The sequence below is a fragment of the Homo sapiens genome, chromosome 8 (assembly GCF_000001405.40).
Source record: "Homo sapiens chromosome 8, GRCh38.p14 Primary Assembly".
Classification (NCBI taxonomy): domain Eukaryota; kingdom Metazoa; phylum Chordata; class Mammalia; order Primates; family Hominidae; genus Homo; species Homo sapiens.
The window spans coordinates 86,669,246-86,684,742 of record NC_000008.11 but is presented as its reverse complement, the minus strand read 5'-3'; the positions used below and the strand labels follow the sequence as shown (position 1 = coordinate 86,684,742).

The following is a 15,497-nucleotide window of genomic DNA, read 5'->3' as shown; positions in this document are numbered from 1 at the left end:
GAGATTGGCTTTTAATCAATATAATTCTCCAGAGATCTTTCTAAATTGTGTGTGCATCAAGAGTTTATTCCTTTTTTTTTTTTTTTGGCTTAAGTATTCCATGACATGAACTTACCACAGTTTAACCATTCACTTATTGAAAGACATCCAGGTTACTTCCAGTTTGGGGCTATTACAAATAAATCTATGAATATGTGTGCACAAGTTTTTGTGAAAACACAAAGTTTTTATTTCTCCAGGATAAATACCCAGGAGTACAATTATAGGGGTCATATGATAATTGCATGTTTAGCTTTATAAGAAACTGTCAAACTGTTTTCCAGAGTGACTGCATCATTTTACATTCCAAGCAGCAGTGTATGAGTGATCCAGTTTCTTCCCAGGCTTGCCAGCATTTGGTGTTGTCACTATTTTTATTTTAGCCATTCTGATAGATGTGTAGTTATAGCTCATTGTGGTTATAATTTGCATTTCCCAATAGCTAATGATGCGAGACACCTTTTCATTTACTTATTTGCCATCTGCATATCATCTTCCGTGAAATGTCTGTTCATGTGTTTTACCCACTTCATAATTAGATTGTTTTGGTATTTTGCTGTTGAATTTTGAGAATTCTTTATATCCTAGATACTAGACCTTTGTCAGATAGGTAGTCTGTGAATATTTTCTCCCACTCTGCAGCTTGTAGCTTGCCTTTTCATGCTTTTAACATGACAATATCTTTCACAAAGCAAAAGTTTCCCATTTTGATCAAGTGCAATCTGATTGATTTTTGCTTTCATGGACTGTATTTTTAGTGTCCAACTTAAGAACTCTTTGCCAGCCATAGATCCAGAACTTCTCCCTATTGTTTTCTAAAACATATAGTTTTATGTTCTCCACTTAAGTCCATGATCCATTTTGAGTTAATTTTTTGTATAAGGTGTAGGTTTAGGTTGAAGTTCACTTTTCTTGCCTATGGCCGTCCAGTTGCTCCAGCACCATTTGTTGAAAAGGCTATCTTTTCTCCTTTGAATTGCTCTTGCACCTTTGTCAAAAATCACTTGGTAGCTTTTTAATGGTACATGAATATCCTGCAGGTCTGTCCCTAGCAGTAGATAACCAATCAAGACTTAGGGCAGTGACCTAGTCAGTATAAATGTCTTCATGAAAATATAATTCCTTAAAAAAGAAAAGTTATTACCATCTGTTTGCATCTTAAGGAATGTTTCAATGTACAGTCAGACTACCAGTACAGTTCTCTTGCTGAGTTTCAGCAGTTATCAGCAATTTGTTTAATTTCACCTTAGTCTTTTTTGTTAACCTACTTCTAATAGACATTTCCATTATCCTTCATTTAGTGGTTTGAAGGTCAAAAATCATTTAAATTTCACCCACATACCCAGCCACCTGCTTGGATATGCTTAGTTTGGCTCTTTAGTGCATTCAGACCAACTCAGTGTATCTTCCTGGGTTTTTGTTTAGAAGAAGAAAAAGAACCAGACATTAATTTGGCACTCAGAGTATCTCTTAACTATATGCACTGCACTCTCCTTTATTTCAACATCAAACTGAATATTCATTCTCCATTCTTTCCTTATTAGGTGCTGTTAATTCTTTACCTGAAATAAAAATAATGTCTCTATCTATACTTTCAGAGAAAAAAGCTGTGTAAATATTTTCCAGTCAAGGAAGTATAATCCTGATAACCATTTACTACCCAGTCACTCTTAAAGAAGAATCTGCCCAAGAATTTTCCCAGGCAGGCACTGAACCTCCTAATTTCTAAGTGGTCAAAAACTGGGAGCCTGGTGCTCCAGGGCTCTAACAGCTGACCTCAACCACACACAGGTCACCAGAGTTTAGAACTCTGTCTTACAGTCCTGAATCCCAATGTGCAGAAGCAGGACCTTACTCCACATTTCTGTTTATTGGCACCCTGACTTCTTCCCCCTTCCCTACTCTGATTTCCTTCTGTCTGTGCTCTTTCTGGTTTCTCTAAGCCTCACATGCGATTTTGCATTATTGACTCGGACGTTCTTGGTTTCCCTCTTTCTACAAATGTCCTCCGTTTGCATTTAGAGGATTGAATTGTTTTGAATGGAACCCCTCCCTTCCAGGAGCTCTCCACACATCTCTCCTGGCATCGCTATGAAAGAAGCCAATCTCTGCATCATGTACTTCTGCTTTCATCTCCAGACCCCAGCCACACATCCTGCTATCGAGGCAATGACAAATCAACCTCAGAAACACTGATATTTGTTTTGGGGAGTTGAAGTACTTCTACAATCCCCCTGTCAAACTGGCCTCTTGCTATCCCCTGTTTCATTCCCAATTTACTCATAGCTGGAGAAGTTGCTGACCTAATTGGTCAGAAGCCAAGATATTCATCCACCCCTCTTTAGTAGTGGTTGGGATTGCTTCACCTCAAAGGCAGGAAATCAGGACTTATTTTTCTCTAGGTGTTTCCTTCTGTCATGCAGTAAGTCCATCTGGGCATGAATTACTTCTTAGAGGAAGTCCTCACTCAAGATCAGTAGGTGGGTAAGTAGGCCCACAGCCCGACCTGTGGAAATAGCATATGTCTCTTCAGCATGTGGTTCCAAAATTTAGATTCAGGGAAAGGTCAGCAGATCTACTTTAGCCTCAAGGCCTATACTAAATATCTCAATAAAACTTTTACAGAGCTCTGCATGCTACACCAAGAAAAATTTCAACTCCTTCATTTGCTTTTTCTTTTTAAACATTTTTACCTTTTACATGATATTCCTAGTGTAAAAGGAAGAAGCCACCACTGAATAGCTGACACAAAAATGGAATTTGCTGCTTTCTTAGCAAGGAAGAGTTGTGCTTGGAAGGTGAAGTCTTCCTGAGAAAAGCAAAGAGATAATCTTATCTAGGGTTTGGCAATATGGAGTTCAAAGAAAATTTATTTTCCCTGGGAAATTTTGAGACATTGCTCCATTAGCTTCTAGTGTTCAGTGTTGTCAATGAGAAATCTGAAGCCAATCTAATGTTTTTATAAGGTTGTTGTTTTTTTCCATCTCTTGAAGCTTTTAGAATTTTTCTTTTTAATTTTAGTGTTCTGAGATTTCTGACAGTGTGCCAGGTTTGAGTTTTCTCTTATTCATTTCACTCACCGCTGGTGACCTCTTTGAATCTGAAGACTTGTACATTTCTTCAGCTCTGCAGAATGTTTCCCTACAGTTTCTTTGACTGATTTATCTTCTCTTTTTCCTCTGTTCTCTCCTTTGGGAATTTATACAGGTGTTGTAACTTCTAGATCTATTCTCCATATGCTTTTCTTACCTGATGTAACTTCAGTCCTGTCTTACTTTCCTTGTGTACTTTTACACCTGTTGTCCTGTGCTACACTCTGGGAGAATTCTTCAACTCATTCTCTCCTCTGTTGTGTTCATTCGGCAGTTTAGCTAATCTCAAATCTTTTTTTGTTGTTTATTTTTGTTTTTTGGATAATCAAATTTTTTCTCTTCACGTCTCTTATCTATTCCCTTTCGCAATAATCTATCCCAATCAACATATAATAGATATACTTTCCTACCTTTATGAAGATATCAAGCTTTTTAAAAATATCATCAGCTTTGTTATTCTGTTTCTTTAGATACTGGGGTTTTTAAATTTGTTTTCTTCAGTGCTTCTCATAGTAGTGATTTTGTGCAATCGCTTGGTAATTTGGTGTTTGTGTGATCATCTTTGTACTTGATATTGCCCCTGTAACTTGTGTATATCTGTAGTGGACACAGAGCAAAGCGTAGGAGCCGTTTACCTTGGGGATAGAAGCATTTTATCAGTGTTTTTAAGAAGTATTAGCACATGGTGATAATAAAAATCAAACCAACTTTTAGTTGTTTTAGGAGTTCTTTTAAACTTCCTACAGACAATGTCCCCCATTTATTGCCTACACCTGGGGAAGATGAGTCCCACAACCTCCTCTCACTCCACCTCCCCTCCTCACCCCACAACTTGGTACGCCATTGCTGTAAATGATGTTCACTTGACCGTATTCTTTCTACACTATGAGGGAAAACCACTGTCAAGAGTAGTATAAGACCAACTCACTGTCTGGGCATAGAGTCCCCCATTCCTTTTGATTGTTGCCATCCTGCTAAGATACAGCTCTGCTTCTCTAGTCCAAATTCCCTCTCACCACCTAGAGGAAAATGCTTCTGCACTTATCAACTGAATGCAGGTTTGGTCAAAAAGAGAGCAACCTACTTCATTACTCTGAATGCAATTGGTGTGGAATCACCCCAATGGTTGACCATGGCCCCTTCTGGTCCCTTGTATTCACTTCCTCCAAGGGTAAAACTCTCTCAGAACCCTCTCACTTTGCAATGAACGTCTCCTGTGACTGTTTTGAATGATGGTTTTTTTCATTAACATCAACACTGTTCTGAGCACTTTACAACTGTGAGCATTAAATGAGCTAACATATGAACCCATATGCTTTCTAACTTTCAGAAATGTCTCAAATTTTCTGGCTTACTGGTGGCAATGTCTTGCTTTCCAGCATTGTAGAGTTTTCACAACATTTTTTTCTGTCATCTCGGGATGTATGGCATTTGGCCTAATATCTTGATCTAATTTTTCACCTGCTTCTTAAAATAGATTTACCCCTTTTTTCTTGATATGTATGTATTCCAGGTTAGTCCACTTGAGCTTCCATAATGAAATACCACTGACTGAAATATCACAGGCTTAACAAACAGAAATGTATTTTCTCACAGTTCTGGAGGCTAGGAGTCCAAGATCAAGGTGCTGTCAGACTCGGTTCTGGTGAAGCCGCCTCTCTTCCTCGTAGATGGATAGTAGATGGCTGCCTTCTTGCTGTATTTCCATATGGACTTTCCGCTGTGAATGAGATGAAAGAAAGTGCTCTTTAGTCCCTCTTCTTTTTCTTATAAGGACACCAATCCTGGCCAGACGCGGTGGCTCATGCCTGTAATCCCAACAATTTTGGAGGCCAAGGTGGGCGGATCACCTGAGGTTAGGAGTTCAAGACCAGCCTGGCCAACATGGCAAATCTCCATCTCTACTAAAAATACAAAAATTAGCCAGGCATGGTGGTGGGCAACTGTAATCCCAGCTACTTGGGAAGCTGAGACAGGAGAATTGCTCGAATCCAGGAGGCAAAGGTTGCAGTGAGCCAAGATTGTGCCACTGCACTCCAGCCTGGGTGACAGAGCAAGACTCCTTTTCAAAAAAAAAGAAAAAGAAAAAGAAAGAAAGAAAGAAAAAGGACACCAATCCTATCAATCCTATCAGATTAGGGCCTTATCCTTATGACTTCATATAACCTTAATTCCTCCCCATAGGTCGTGTCTCCAAATTCAGTCACATTAGGGGTTAGGACTACAACATATGAATTTTGGGGGAACAAAATTTAGCCCATAACACATTCTAATGAAACACGTTTTAAATAAAGAAAACATCAATAAACAAACTAATAAGGAAGAGTATAAACTAACAAATAAATAAACTAATAAATGTAAGAGTGTGTGTAAAATGAAAGAGAGGAATGTTAACTAAAAAATCTTCAAAGTGAATACAGAATATGATGAGCTTTCCTGGTGCAAAATAAGTGCACAATAAATATTAGTTGAATAAATGAATGAGATGTTCAAAATGCACCTCATAACTTCCCCAAGACACCAATTTTCAGGAACATTGTATCAAACATTCTTTGACTCTTTCAGGCTGCTACTCCACAGAGAAAAAATGGTAAAAGCAGGGTCACCCTACTTGTTAATTTTCTACTCCCAAAAAAATACCTGAAGCCATTGAGGAATTTTAAATGTTTACTGAAATTAAATATATTAGTATTATGACTATGTTTATGCTGATATGTTTATTCATTCTTTTTCCAATTGCATTTAGATTTTGGAAGGGTTGCCATTGGTTATGTGTGTTGATTTTTGTGTATATAGGCAGGTGTGTGTACATATGGGTGTATAATATAAATTCACAATCTATGAAATTTTTTTTGTTGTTACTTTAGCCTTAAAATGGTTGACTAACTTTAAACAGGGTTAGGTACCATTACATTTTTGGGACAATAGAATATGATTCACTAGTAACAAAAATAAACAACAGAGACATACCTCCAGCACTTCCAGATTAACTAAAGAAATGCTCTAGAGAGTAGACGGCTAACATGGGGTGTGGAAACAAGTGTTGGAACCATACATGCATTGCAGCATATTCTACACAGATCATGAATCACTTAGGTTAGGAAATTGTGCATCATAACATCCATATGTACATTACCATATGTACAAACTGATGTGTGCAAACAATACCATAATGCACAAGTGAAATGTGATAAACAACTCAAAATCTTCACAGCATTTAGAGGTGAATGTGAAAAGGGAGTGAAGTGAGACTTGGTTGAGTTATATCTATACTTTCCCAAATTTGCCTAAAATGTATAGGCTTTATGGTAGACTGCCACATACTTTGGCAAAAAATCATAATTTTGTGCTATTTTCACTCAGAAATGTATTCTCACCAAAAATACTCATGTATGTAAAGTGAGATTTTTTTTCAGATGTAACTTTTGAGGGCAGCTGTATGAATTTATCATTAATTATTGCCTAAACATGGCAAAAGAAAAAGGACGTGCTCCTTTCTCCCCTAAAAACTTCCCAAATTAGAATACAATACTCTTCGCCTAATTCCTGCCTGTTATTCAACAAGATAGAAATAGTGGGTTTTAAAAAAATTGAACCAACTGGGATTTTTGAGAAATAAGTCGCTGAAAAATGAATTAATTCTTAATTAAGAATTAAAAGGAATCTAGCAAAGTTTGCAAAAGAAAATAATGAACAGAAATTCAAAATACTATTTAGAGAACAAACACAAGAGTCTACATACCTGTTTCACAAAATACTTGTTAAGACAAATGGGGAGAAAATGACAAAATTTGATGGCATTACATATCTCCCTAACCAATGTTCTTAAAGATGACCAGTGAACTCTTACTTGCCCCCATCCTACTCACTTTATGTGCAGCATAAGATGCCACTGACTTCCTTTTTCAAACTCTTACCTTCCCTGATTTTTTGTGGCATTTTTCTCTTTTAGATCTGTCTCTCTAATTGCTACTTCTCAGTTCCTTTTCTTATGCTATGCCGTAAATGTCAGTAAATTCCAAGGTTGTGACTTCCCAATTTTTCTTGTTCTATGCAGGCTTTTACTGGTAATCTCATCCACTATATCATTCCCACCACATCCTCTAGACAGGTGATTTCAACCTAGTTCAATATCTACCACGCAGTCCTCCCTTCCGATTTCCAGACCTAAATTCTCAACTGCTTTCTGTACCAAATGTATTGAAAGAGACCTTGATTCTTAACTTACGACTCAAGTTTCACATTTACTAAACTGAATGTATTGCTATTTCTCTTACAACTTATGCTTCCATATGAGTTGTCCATATGTTATCATAATTATCTGCTTTGCTAACTCTGTTAGTTTCCTAAGACTGCCATAACAAATTACCACAAACTGGGTGGCTTAAAACAACAGATATTTATTTTCTCGCAGTTCTGGAGGCTAGAAGCCTGAATTCAAGGTTGGTCCTTTTGAAAGAGCTGAGGGAGAATTTTTTCCATGCTCTCTCTCCCAGCTTTTGGTGATCACCAACAATCCTTTGTGTTTTCTGACTTAGCAATGTAGTGCTCCAATTTCTGCCACTGTTGTCACATGGCATTCTCCTTGCGTCTCTTCTCTGTCTTCAACTAGGCTTTTTTAAAAAAAATTCATACTGTTCTGATTTATTCATCATCAGTGTACCTGAGAGACTCGGCAGACATAAATTAACTATATGTAAATTACTATATTCATGAGCAGATGCAAAAATAGGAAAGGCAGCGTTACTGGCTTGTAGTTGATAGGCCACTCCAGCACTTAGGCTTCTTATAAAGACCCCAGTCACTGGATTGAGGGCCCAACCTACTCCGGTATGGCTTCATCTTAACTTAAATAGTTAAATCTATAAAGACTCGATTTTAAAATAAGGTCACATTCTGAGGTTCCAGGTGGACACAAATGTTGGCAGAATATTATTCAATGTAGTACAATGACCAAACATGGAATTCCATACTCTGACATTAACCTACATATTTTAAGTTGATTATCTCCCTTCTTCAAGTCACACTTCCTCCTTACTGCAACTAATTATCTTCTTTCTTTTTTAATTATTCTTCCAAAGCATAGCTAATCATGTCCCTCTTCTGCTTAGAATTCTGCCATGGTTCCCCATCAACCTCAACTGACCATTCAAGACAAATTTTAGGTCACTTGGGATCTTACGTTAAAATGTTTGAGCCTTTATTGTATTCTATTAGGCAGCGATGAACACCCCTTTTCTAAAGCTGTTTCCTTTGCCTTGAATACCTTCCCTTTATATTATCAAAGTGCTGTCCATCCTTCATGATTCAACTAGGAAACCACCTCTGCTGTAAACTCACCGCAGATCACCACCCACTCATGTTACCATGCTCATCAAAATTAGTCATCTCTCCATGTTATACTAAAGCAGCCATCTTAAACTAGAGAATATGTTATCCCTGCGTGCACGTCAAAACTTTCTTAGAGTCCTAACAAACACAGTTTTAAAAGAACCAATTTCAAGATCCACGTCTTATAAATGTTCTCTTTCTTAAAACTAATAATATTGAGTGCAGCTGCAGACCAGGTGTTTTTCTTTCCTATCTTCCTTTTCACAGTGGACTTCCCCGCAACCCCACCACTTTACCCCAAACAACAAAAAACTTAACTCGCCTCACCCATTCCAATCTTACTAGCATTGCCCTAGAGGGTAAAAACTTCTGTAATCCTAATTGTTAATTATACAATTTTGTTGGCCTGTGCCTCTGACTGAATTTAAAGAAATAAGGAAACTACTATAGTTCTTTTCTTTTTCATCAGCTTTTTAAAAAATGAGTTTCCCTTGTACCTTTATCAAAAAAAGTCACAAATTTTATTCTAACAATAACCAATCCTTTATTCTTTCATAGAGATATATAAATAAAATTTTAGGCCATCTTTTGTGACTGACATCTGCAATCCCAGTACTTTGGGAGGCTGAGGCAGGAGCTCCTACTTAAAGACCAGCCTGGGCAACAAAGCAAGACCCCATCTCTAGAAAAAATAAATAAATTAGCAAGGCATGATGGCACACACCTTTTGCCAGCTACACAGGAGGCTGAGGTGGGAAGATTGCTTGAGCTCAGGAGTTTATGGCCTCAGTAAGCTATGATGGTGACAGAGTGAGACCCCATCTCTAGAACAGAACAAAATAGAATAGAATAGGAAGACAACTATCCAATATGAGTTTCCTCCTATGTTTATCAAAATTTGTAGAATTGGCTGGGGACAGTGGCTCACAACAGTAATCCCAGTACTTTGGGAGGCCAAGGCAGGAAGATTGCTTGAGCCCAGGAGTTTGAGACCAGCTTGAGCAACCTGGTGAAACCTCATGTCTACAGACTCACACACAAAAGAAATGCCGGCACTCTGGGAGGCCGAAGAAGGTGGATCACATGAGGTCAGGAGTTCTAGACCAACCTAGCCAACATGATGAAACCCTGTGTCTAATTTAAAAAATACAAAAATTAGCCAGGTGTGGTGGTGGACACTTGTAACCCCAGCTACTCGGGAGGCTGAGGCAGCAGAATTGCTTGAACCTGGAAGGCAGAGGTTGCAGTGAGCCGAGATTGCACCACTGCTTTCCAGCCTGGGTGACAGAGCAAGACCCTGTCTCAACAACAACAACAACAACAACAACAACAACAACAAAAAGAGAGAAAGAAAGAAATATTAGACAGGTGTGGTGTTGCACACCTGTAGTCCCAGCAACCCAAGAGACTGAGGTGGGAGGATGGCTTGAGCCCAGGGAAGTCAAGGCTGCAGTGAGCTATGATTGTACCACTGCACTCCAGCCTGGGCAGCAGAGCAAGACCCTATCTCACACACACACACAAAAGTTAAATTGTAAGATATTTTTACTGTTTACCAAAACTTTCATCATGGAATTAGGAATAATTCTTTAAAAAGCATAAAATTGGTAATATAAACAAGAAATAGCAAACAGAGCTCAGATGAAGCATAGTTACATAAGGCAAAACCATTGGTTCTTTCTTTTATCCCTTTTGGGTTTTATCTCATGATGTATGTTTCTTCCTCTCTATTTGCCTTTCCTGTTCCATAACAAAATTACCTAAAGAAAAATACATTCATGGCTTCCATATGTATATAGGCAGAGGAGAATGGCAAGGATCCTAGAAAAGAAGCTGGAGAAAGACAAGAAGATGAAATAAAATGACATCATAATGCTCCAGCTAACATAAAGACAAAAATGCATAGTAGTTAAAATATAGATATGTATTTGATATGCTTGCATTCTTTTTCATGTGAATTTCAGCATTTTAACCATGAGGTGGGTTTGCACACTACAAAGTAATATAACTAAATGGCAATTATATGGTCAATTAGGGCTTATAGATAATTCAGGGAAAGAAAAAATATTCTCCTCAGATCTTGGGACACTGGAGAGTTTGACAGTTTGAATACCTGACTTTATAGTTAATGATTCAGCAACATTCAACATAGCTTTTTATATATATTTTAAAGCACTCAGGCACATCAACTAAGGTCAAACAAATTGTTAAAAGTAGTGGGTGTATTTACTCAATAAGCATTTATTAAAACCTACGTTGTGCTGATCTTATGGAGTATGAAGAAAAGACACAGTTCCTTGCTTTGAGAATCTTACAGTCTATGATGGTGTTATACACATAAATCACTTCAAATATTCCATAATCACTGATGAACCCCAAGTTCTTATTGTCAGAACTGTATTTCTGAATGTCTCCTGAATATCACAGACAAGGTTTTATCACACAAGGTCCTACAAACACCTCAAACTGAAGATACACACACAAAAAATTTTTTCATGCCGCTACTTCATACAAACATCTGCTTCCTGAATTCCTATTTATATTGATGTCATCTTCATGAGTCTAGTCTCTTGTAATAGAAACTTAGTCATTCTTGATTTCTTCTTTGAATTATCCAAAAGCTCCAGTACAGCTCATTAGCCTATCCTCTCACTATTGCTAATTTTCCAAAGTTCAAAGCTGTCTGCTCAGGCCTTTCGTCTGCTTAATACCCTGCATTGGCTCTCTTTGCCCACTGCTTAATGTCTAAACTCCTCAATAGATCACATGGGACCATCATAACCTGACTTCACTCACCTTTCCTTTCCATACCCAACCACCATCACTCCTGCCACCCTCTGCCACCTGGCCCCCTACACACACACACATATACTCTGTTCCAATCACACCAAAATCTGCTGAACATGCCATGTTCTTTCATGCCTTTGAACATATCACTCTCCATGCCTAAAAGACAGTCTATCATTTATCTGTCAAAGATATGCTGGTCCCTTAAGACAGTGTACTTCCTCTACAAAGCCCCTCCTTGACACCCCAGGCTAAATTCAGTGTGGAGCAAAGTACTTTGCACATGTTTTTATTATTTACCATTAGCTATGGATTGACATCCTTGTTTCCCCCATTAAACTATGAACAACTATCGGGCCTGACACTGTGTAACTTATATTTCTATTTGCAGTACATAAAGTAGAAACTCAATAACTGCTTGATGGATGAATAAACTTCTAAGCACACCTTTAAGAAGGAATCAGTGAAATTATATCTATGACAACAAGTCTTAATCAGGAAAAAAGTTATTCTGGCTTTATGGACCTAGTGTCCACCTATTTCTGAACTGTTGAAGATGAATCTGAACTATGTTCACTGCCCGTTGGTCTCTACCATCCTTAAGTAGGCTTTTATATGTCCTAATGTGACATACTTGGAGATCTTGATTCTGAGACAGGACCGTTTACCTTTGAAAGAAGTATAAATTGTACCATGATAATAAGAAGGTAAGAGAGAAAAACATGGGTAGTCTGGGAACCTGTAAACATTTATAGATGTAATATATCTGTGGGCCATGTAGGGAAGGGGTTCATGGAGAGGGGCTCATACTCAATACTGAGATTTTCTTAAGTGGAATCTACAAGTTGCCCAGATGCGCTGTGAACCCCATGGGCTGCCACTTGGAGGTGAGATGGGAAGGGCAGATATGAGAAGAGTATGGATGGAGCCTACATGGGCTCATGTAGACCCAATGTCAGACATTGGAAGGAAGATAGACAGTGAGAGCTCTGAGGGAAATCTGTGAAGAAGCTCAGGTCTTGATGAAGTATCCTAATGTCTACTCTATGCTCCATGCTAGGCTGTTTGTGTATTTTCTCAGAAAGGAAGTTCATTGGCTGGGGACGGAGGCTCAAGCCTGTAATCCTAGCACTTTGGGAGGCCAGGGCAGGCAAACCACCTGAGGTCAGGAGTTCGAGACCAGCCTGGCCAACATGGTGAGACCCAGTCTCTACTAAAACTACAAAAATTAGCTAGGCGTGGTGGCATGCACCTGTAGTCCTAGCTACTTGGGAGGCTGCGGCATGAGAATTGCTTGAACCTGGGAGGCAGAGATTGCAGTGAGCCAAGATCACACCACTGCACTCCAGCCTGGGCGACAACGTGAGACTCAGTCCAAACAAACAAACAAAAAATCAAAAGGAAGTTCATTGAAGCACAGCAGCTGCATTATTTTTCTATTGCCACATAACAAATTACCACATACTTAAGTGATTTAAAACAACACCCAAAAATAAAAGTTGAAGATATAACAAATAAATAAAATTAAATTAAAAACCACCCAGCTATTAGCAAATGGGTCCAAATCAGAAGTCTGAGTGGGCTCAACCGGGTTCTTGGCTTCAGGTCTCACAAGGCTGAAATCAAGGTGTTGGCCAGGCCAGACTAGGCTCTCACTGGGAGGCTGTGGTGAAGAATTTACTTCCAAGTTCATTCAGGTTATTGGCAAAATCAGTTCCCGCAGTTGTACCTCTGAAGTCTCTGTTTTCTTGTGAACAGCTAGCCAGGAATCACTCTCAGCCTCCTAGAGGCCTCATGAAATTCTAACCAGGTGACCCTCTTCTTCACGATCAGCCATGGAGGATTTATCTCAAGTAAAATCTCCCTTGTACTTCAAATCTCTGCCTTCTTGCTGTGTCAGCAGCTGGAGAAACTCTACTTTTAAAGGCCTGGTATGATTAGATCAGGCCCACCTATATAATCTCCTTATCAACTGTGCCACATAACATGGACTACTGATGGGAATAAAACCACCATACTTATTGTCCCTGGGATTATGCAGGCACATATACCAAGGGGCAGGGAATCTTGGGGCCATCTTAGGCTTCTGCCTGCCCCACCATCTGTAGCTTTACTTGTCCTAGTGATACAATGTAATAACAGAATCACTGTCATCAAGATCCAATATGGTCAAGAGTTACCACTTGCTATTTGAGGATTCTAATTTTTTTAATAACAAATCTGTATTCCACCAGCACTATTTCCATTAAACCTAATGTTTGAATTGTGCTATTCAATTGCAAAAAAGGGGAAGTTAATAATCTTGAATATATAAGGAAGGTGAAAAGATTTAATCTTTCCCTTATATCTATTTCTTCATGGGCCCATCTCTATTGCCATTTTTTTTCTCATTTAGCCCACAAAACAAACCGCCTGCAGCTCCTGTTATAAATGAGTATGCCGATGCCCAGCTACACAACCTGGTGAAAAGAATGCGTCAAAGAACAGCCCTCTACAAGAAAAAGTTGGTAGAGGGAGATCTCTCCTCACCCGAAGCCAGCCCACAAACTGGTAAGCATTGCTCCCTCCAAGTACTGGGAAGAAAGAAGTGCTGAGGGGACCTGTGTTTTGCAGATGTTTTAGTTTGGATCTCCCAAAAGCAGACCCTGAGAAAATGATTTACGTACAGTTTATTTTGAGAGTAATCCAGGAAGGTACGAGTGGTGAGACAGAGAACAAAGTTAAGACAGTACAGATGGGTTAATAAGAGGATTACTGGCGGGGTGCAGTGGCTCACACCTGGCAGGGTGCAGTGGCTCACATCTATAATCCCAGCACTTTGGGAGACCAAGACAGGAGGATTGCTTGAGCCTAGGAATTTGAAACCAGCCTGGGCAGCATAGTGAGGCCCTATCTCTTTTTTTTAATTAAAAAAAAGAAAAAGAATAAGAGGACTACTGCTCTGCCATTGGGGCTTTATCCAGCTGAAAAACTGTGTGGCTCATACTTGAAAATTACTTGAATGGAAGAGGAGGAAACTGGTTGGTGCTGGAGCCTGATACTGTTACCTCCCCAGCACTTTCAGTAAACCTGCTAGAGGAAATCCTCCGACAGATGCAGGGAAGCCTCCTACAGGTGACCTCCAGGCTCAGGATATATGTGTAGGACACAAACAGTATCTTCTATAACAAATTTTATTGTAAATATTTAAAATACCCATGTTATGCAAAGTACATATTATAAAAACACAGGAATATTACCTGGGTATCCAAGAGAGCAAAGGACATCAACAAACCAATCAAGTAAGGGGAGGGACTATTATCAACCACGCTAATAACTACAAAAATGTGTGTATGAAAAATTAATTGGCCAGGCGTAGTGGCTCATGACTGTAATCCTAGCCCTTTGGGAGGCCGAGGCAGGCAGATCACGAGGTCAGGAGATCAAGACCATCCTGGCCAACATGGTGAAACCCTGTCTCTACTAAAATACAAAAAATCAGAAAGGCATGGTGGCACATGCCTGTAGTACCAGCTACTTGGGAGGTGAGGCAGGGGAATCGCTTGAACCCAGGAGGCAGAGGTTGCAGTGAGCCAAGATTGCGCCACTGCACTCCAGCCTGGCAACAGAGCAAGACTCCGAAAAAAAAAAAATCAATATGATAATATAGAGCACAAAAGTAATACATACTGTGATTACATCTATGTAAAATATTTATATATATACAGGAAAAGAATAGAACAAAGCTTTGTTGTTTAACATATAAATGCAAATCAAGTTGATAATTACATGGGATGGAGTTGAGATTCCTTGTAGTTCTGTATAAGAGAATGTGGGTTTTCAAAATAAACTGTGTATTGTATAACAGTTTCTTTTTAAACAGAAGAGGCTAAAAGAAATCATAGTTATTATACTTCGATAAAGATATATTGAAAAGAATATTGTGTGTGACATGTGTGAGGGTAAAGAAGCACCAAACCAAAACCTGTGGAATGATGTACGTTTGCAGTGTTTCGGATCTCTGGCTTTATTAATGCTCCAAAGTATGTGAAAATCAAGCTTGTATTTAAAATACTCTATTTGTAACACCTTTGTGACACCTTATTTGTGAGCTTTAAACCTGTTACATATTTCCAAATTTCAGTGTTTTCATTACCTGTATATTTTCATAAATGTTACTATTTTATTTTGTTTTTATTGTATACTTTAAGATATACAACATGATTTGTTTTCTTTTTTAATGTGAGAATGTCTTTATTTTATACGCTA

At 38.7% G+C, this 15,497-nt stretch overlaps 1 protein-coding gene across 2 annotated transcripts in view; it reads left to right on the top strand.

The window, feature by feature from the left end:
* The window catches only part of CNGB3 (cyclic nucleotide gated channel subunit beta 3), a 169,456-nt gene that overhangs the window by 58,892 nt on the left and 95,067 nt on the right, over window positions 1–15,497 (top strand). For both annotated transcript variants that reach the window (NM_019098.5, XM_011517138.3), the window contains one exon: window positions 13,645–13,799. In NM_019098.5, the coding sequence (NP_061971.3) occupies window positions 13,645–13,799 (155 nt within the window). The remainder of the gene's footprint in view (window positions 1–13,644; window positions 13,800–15,497) is intronic.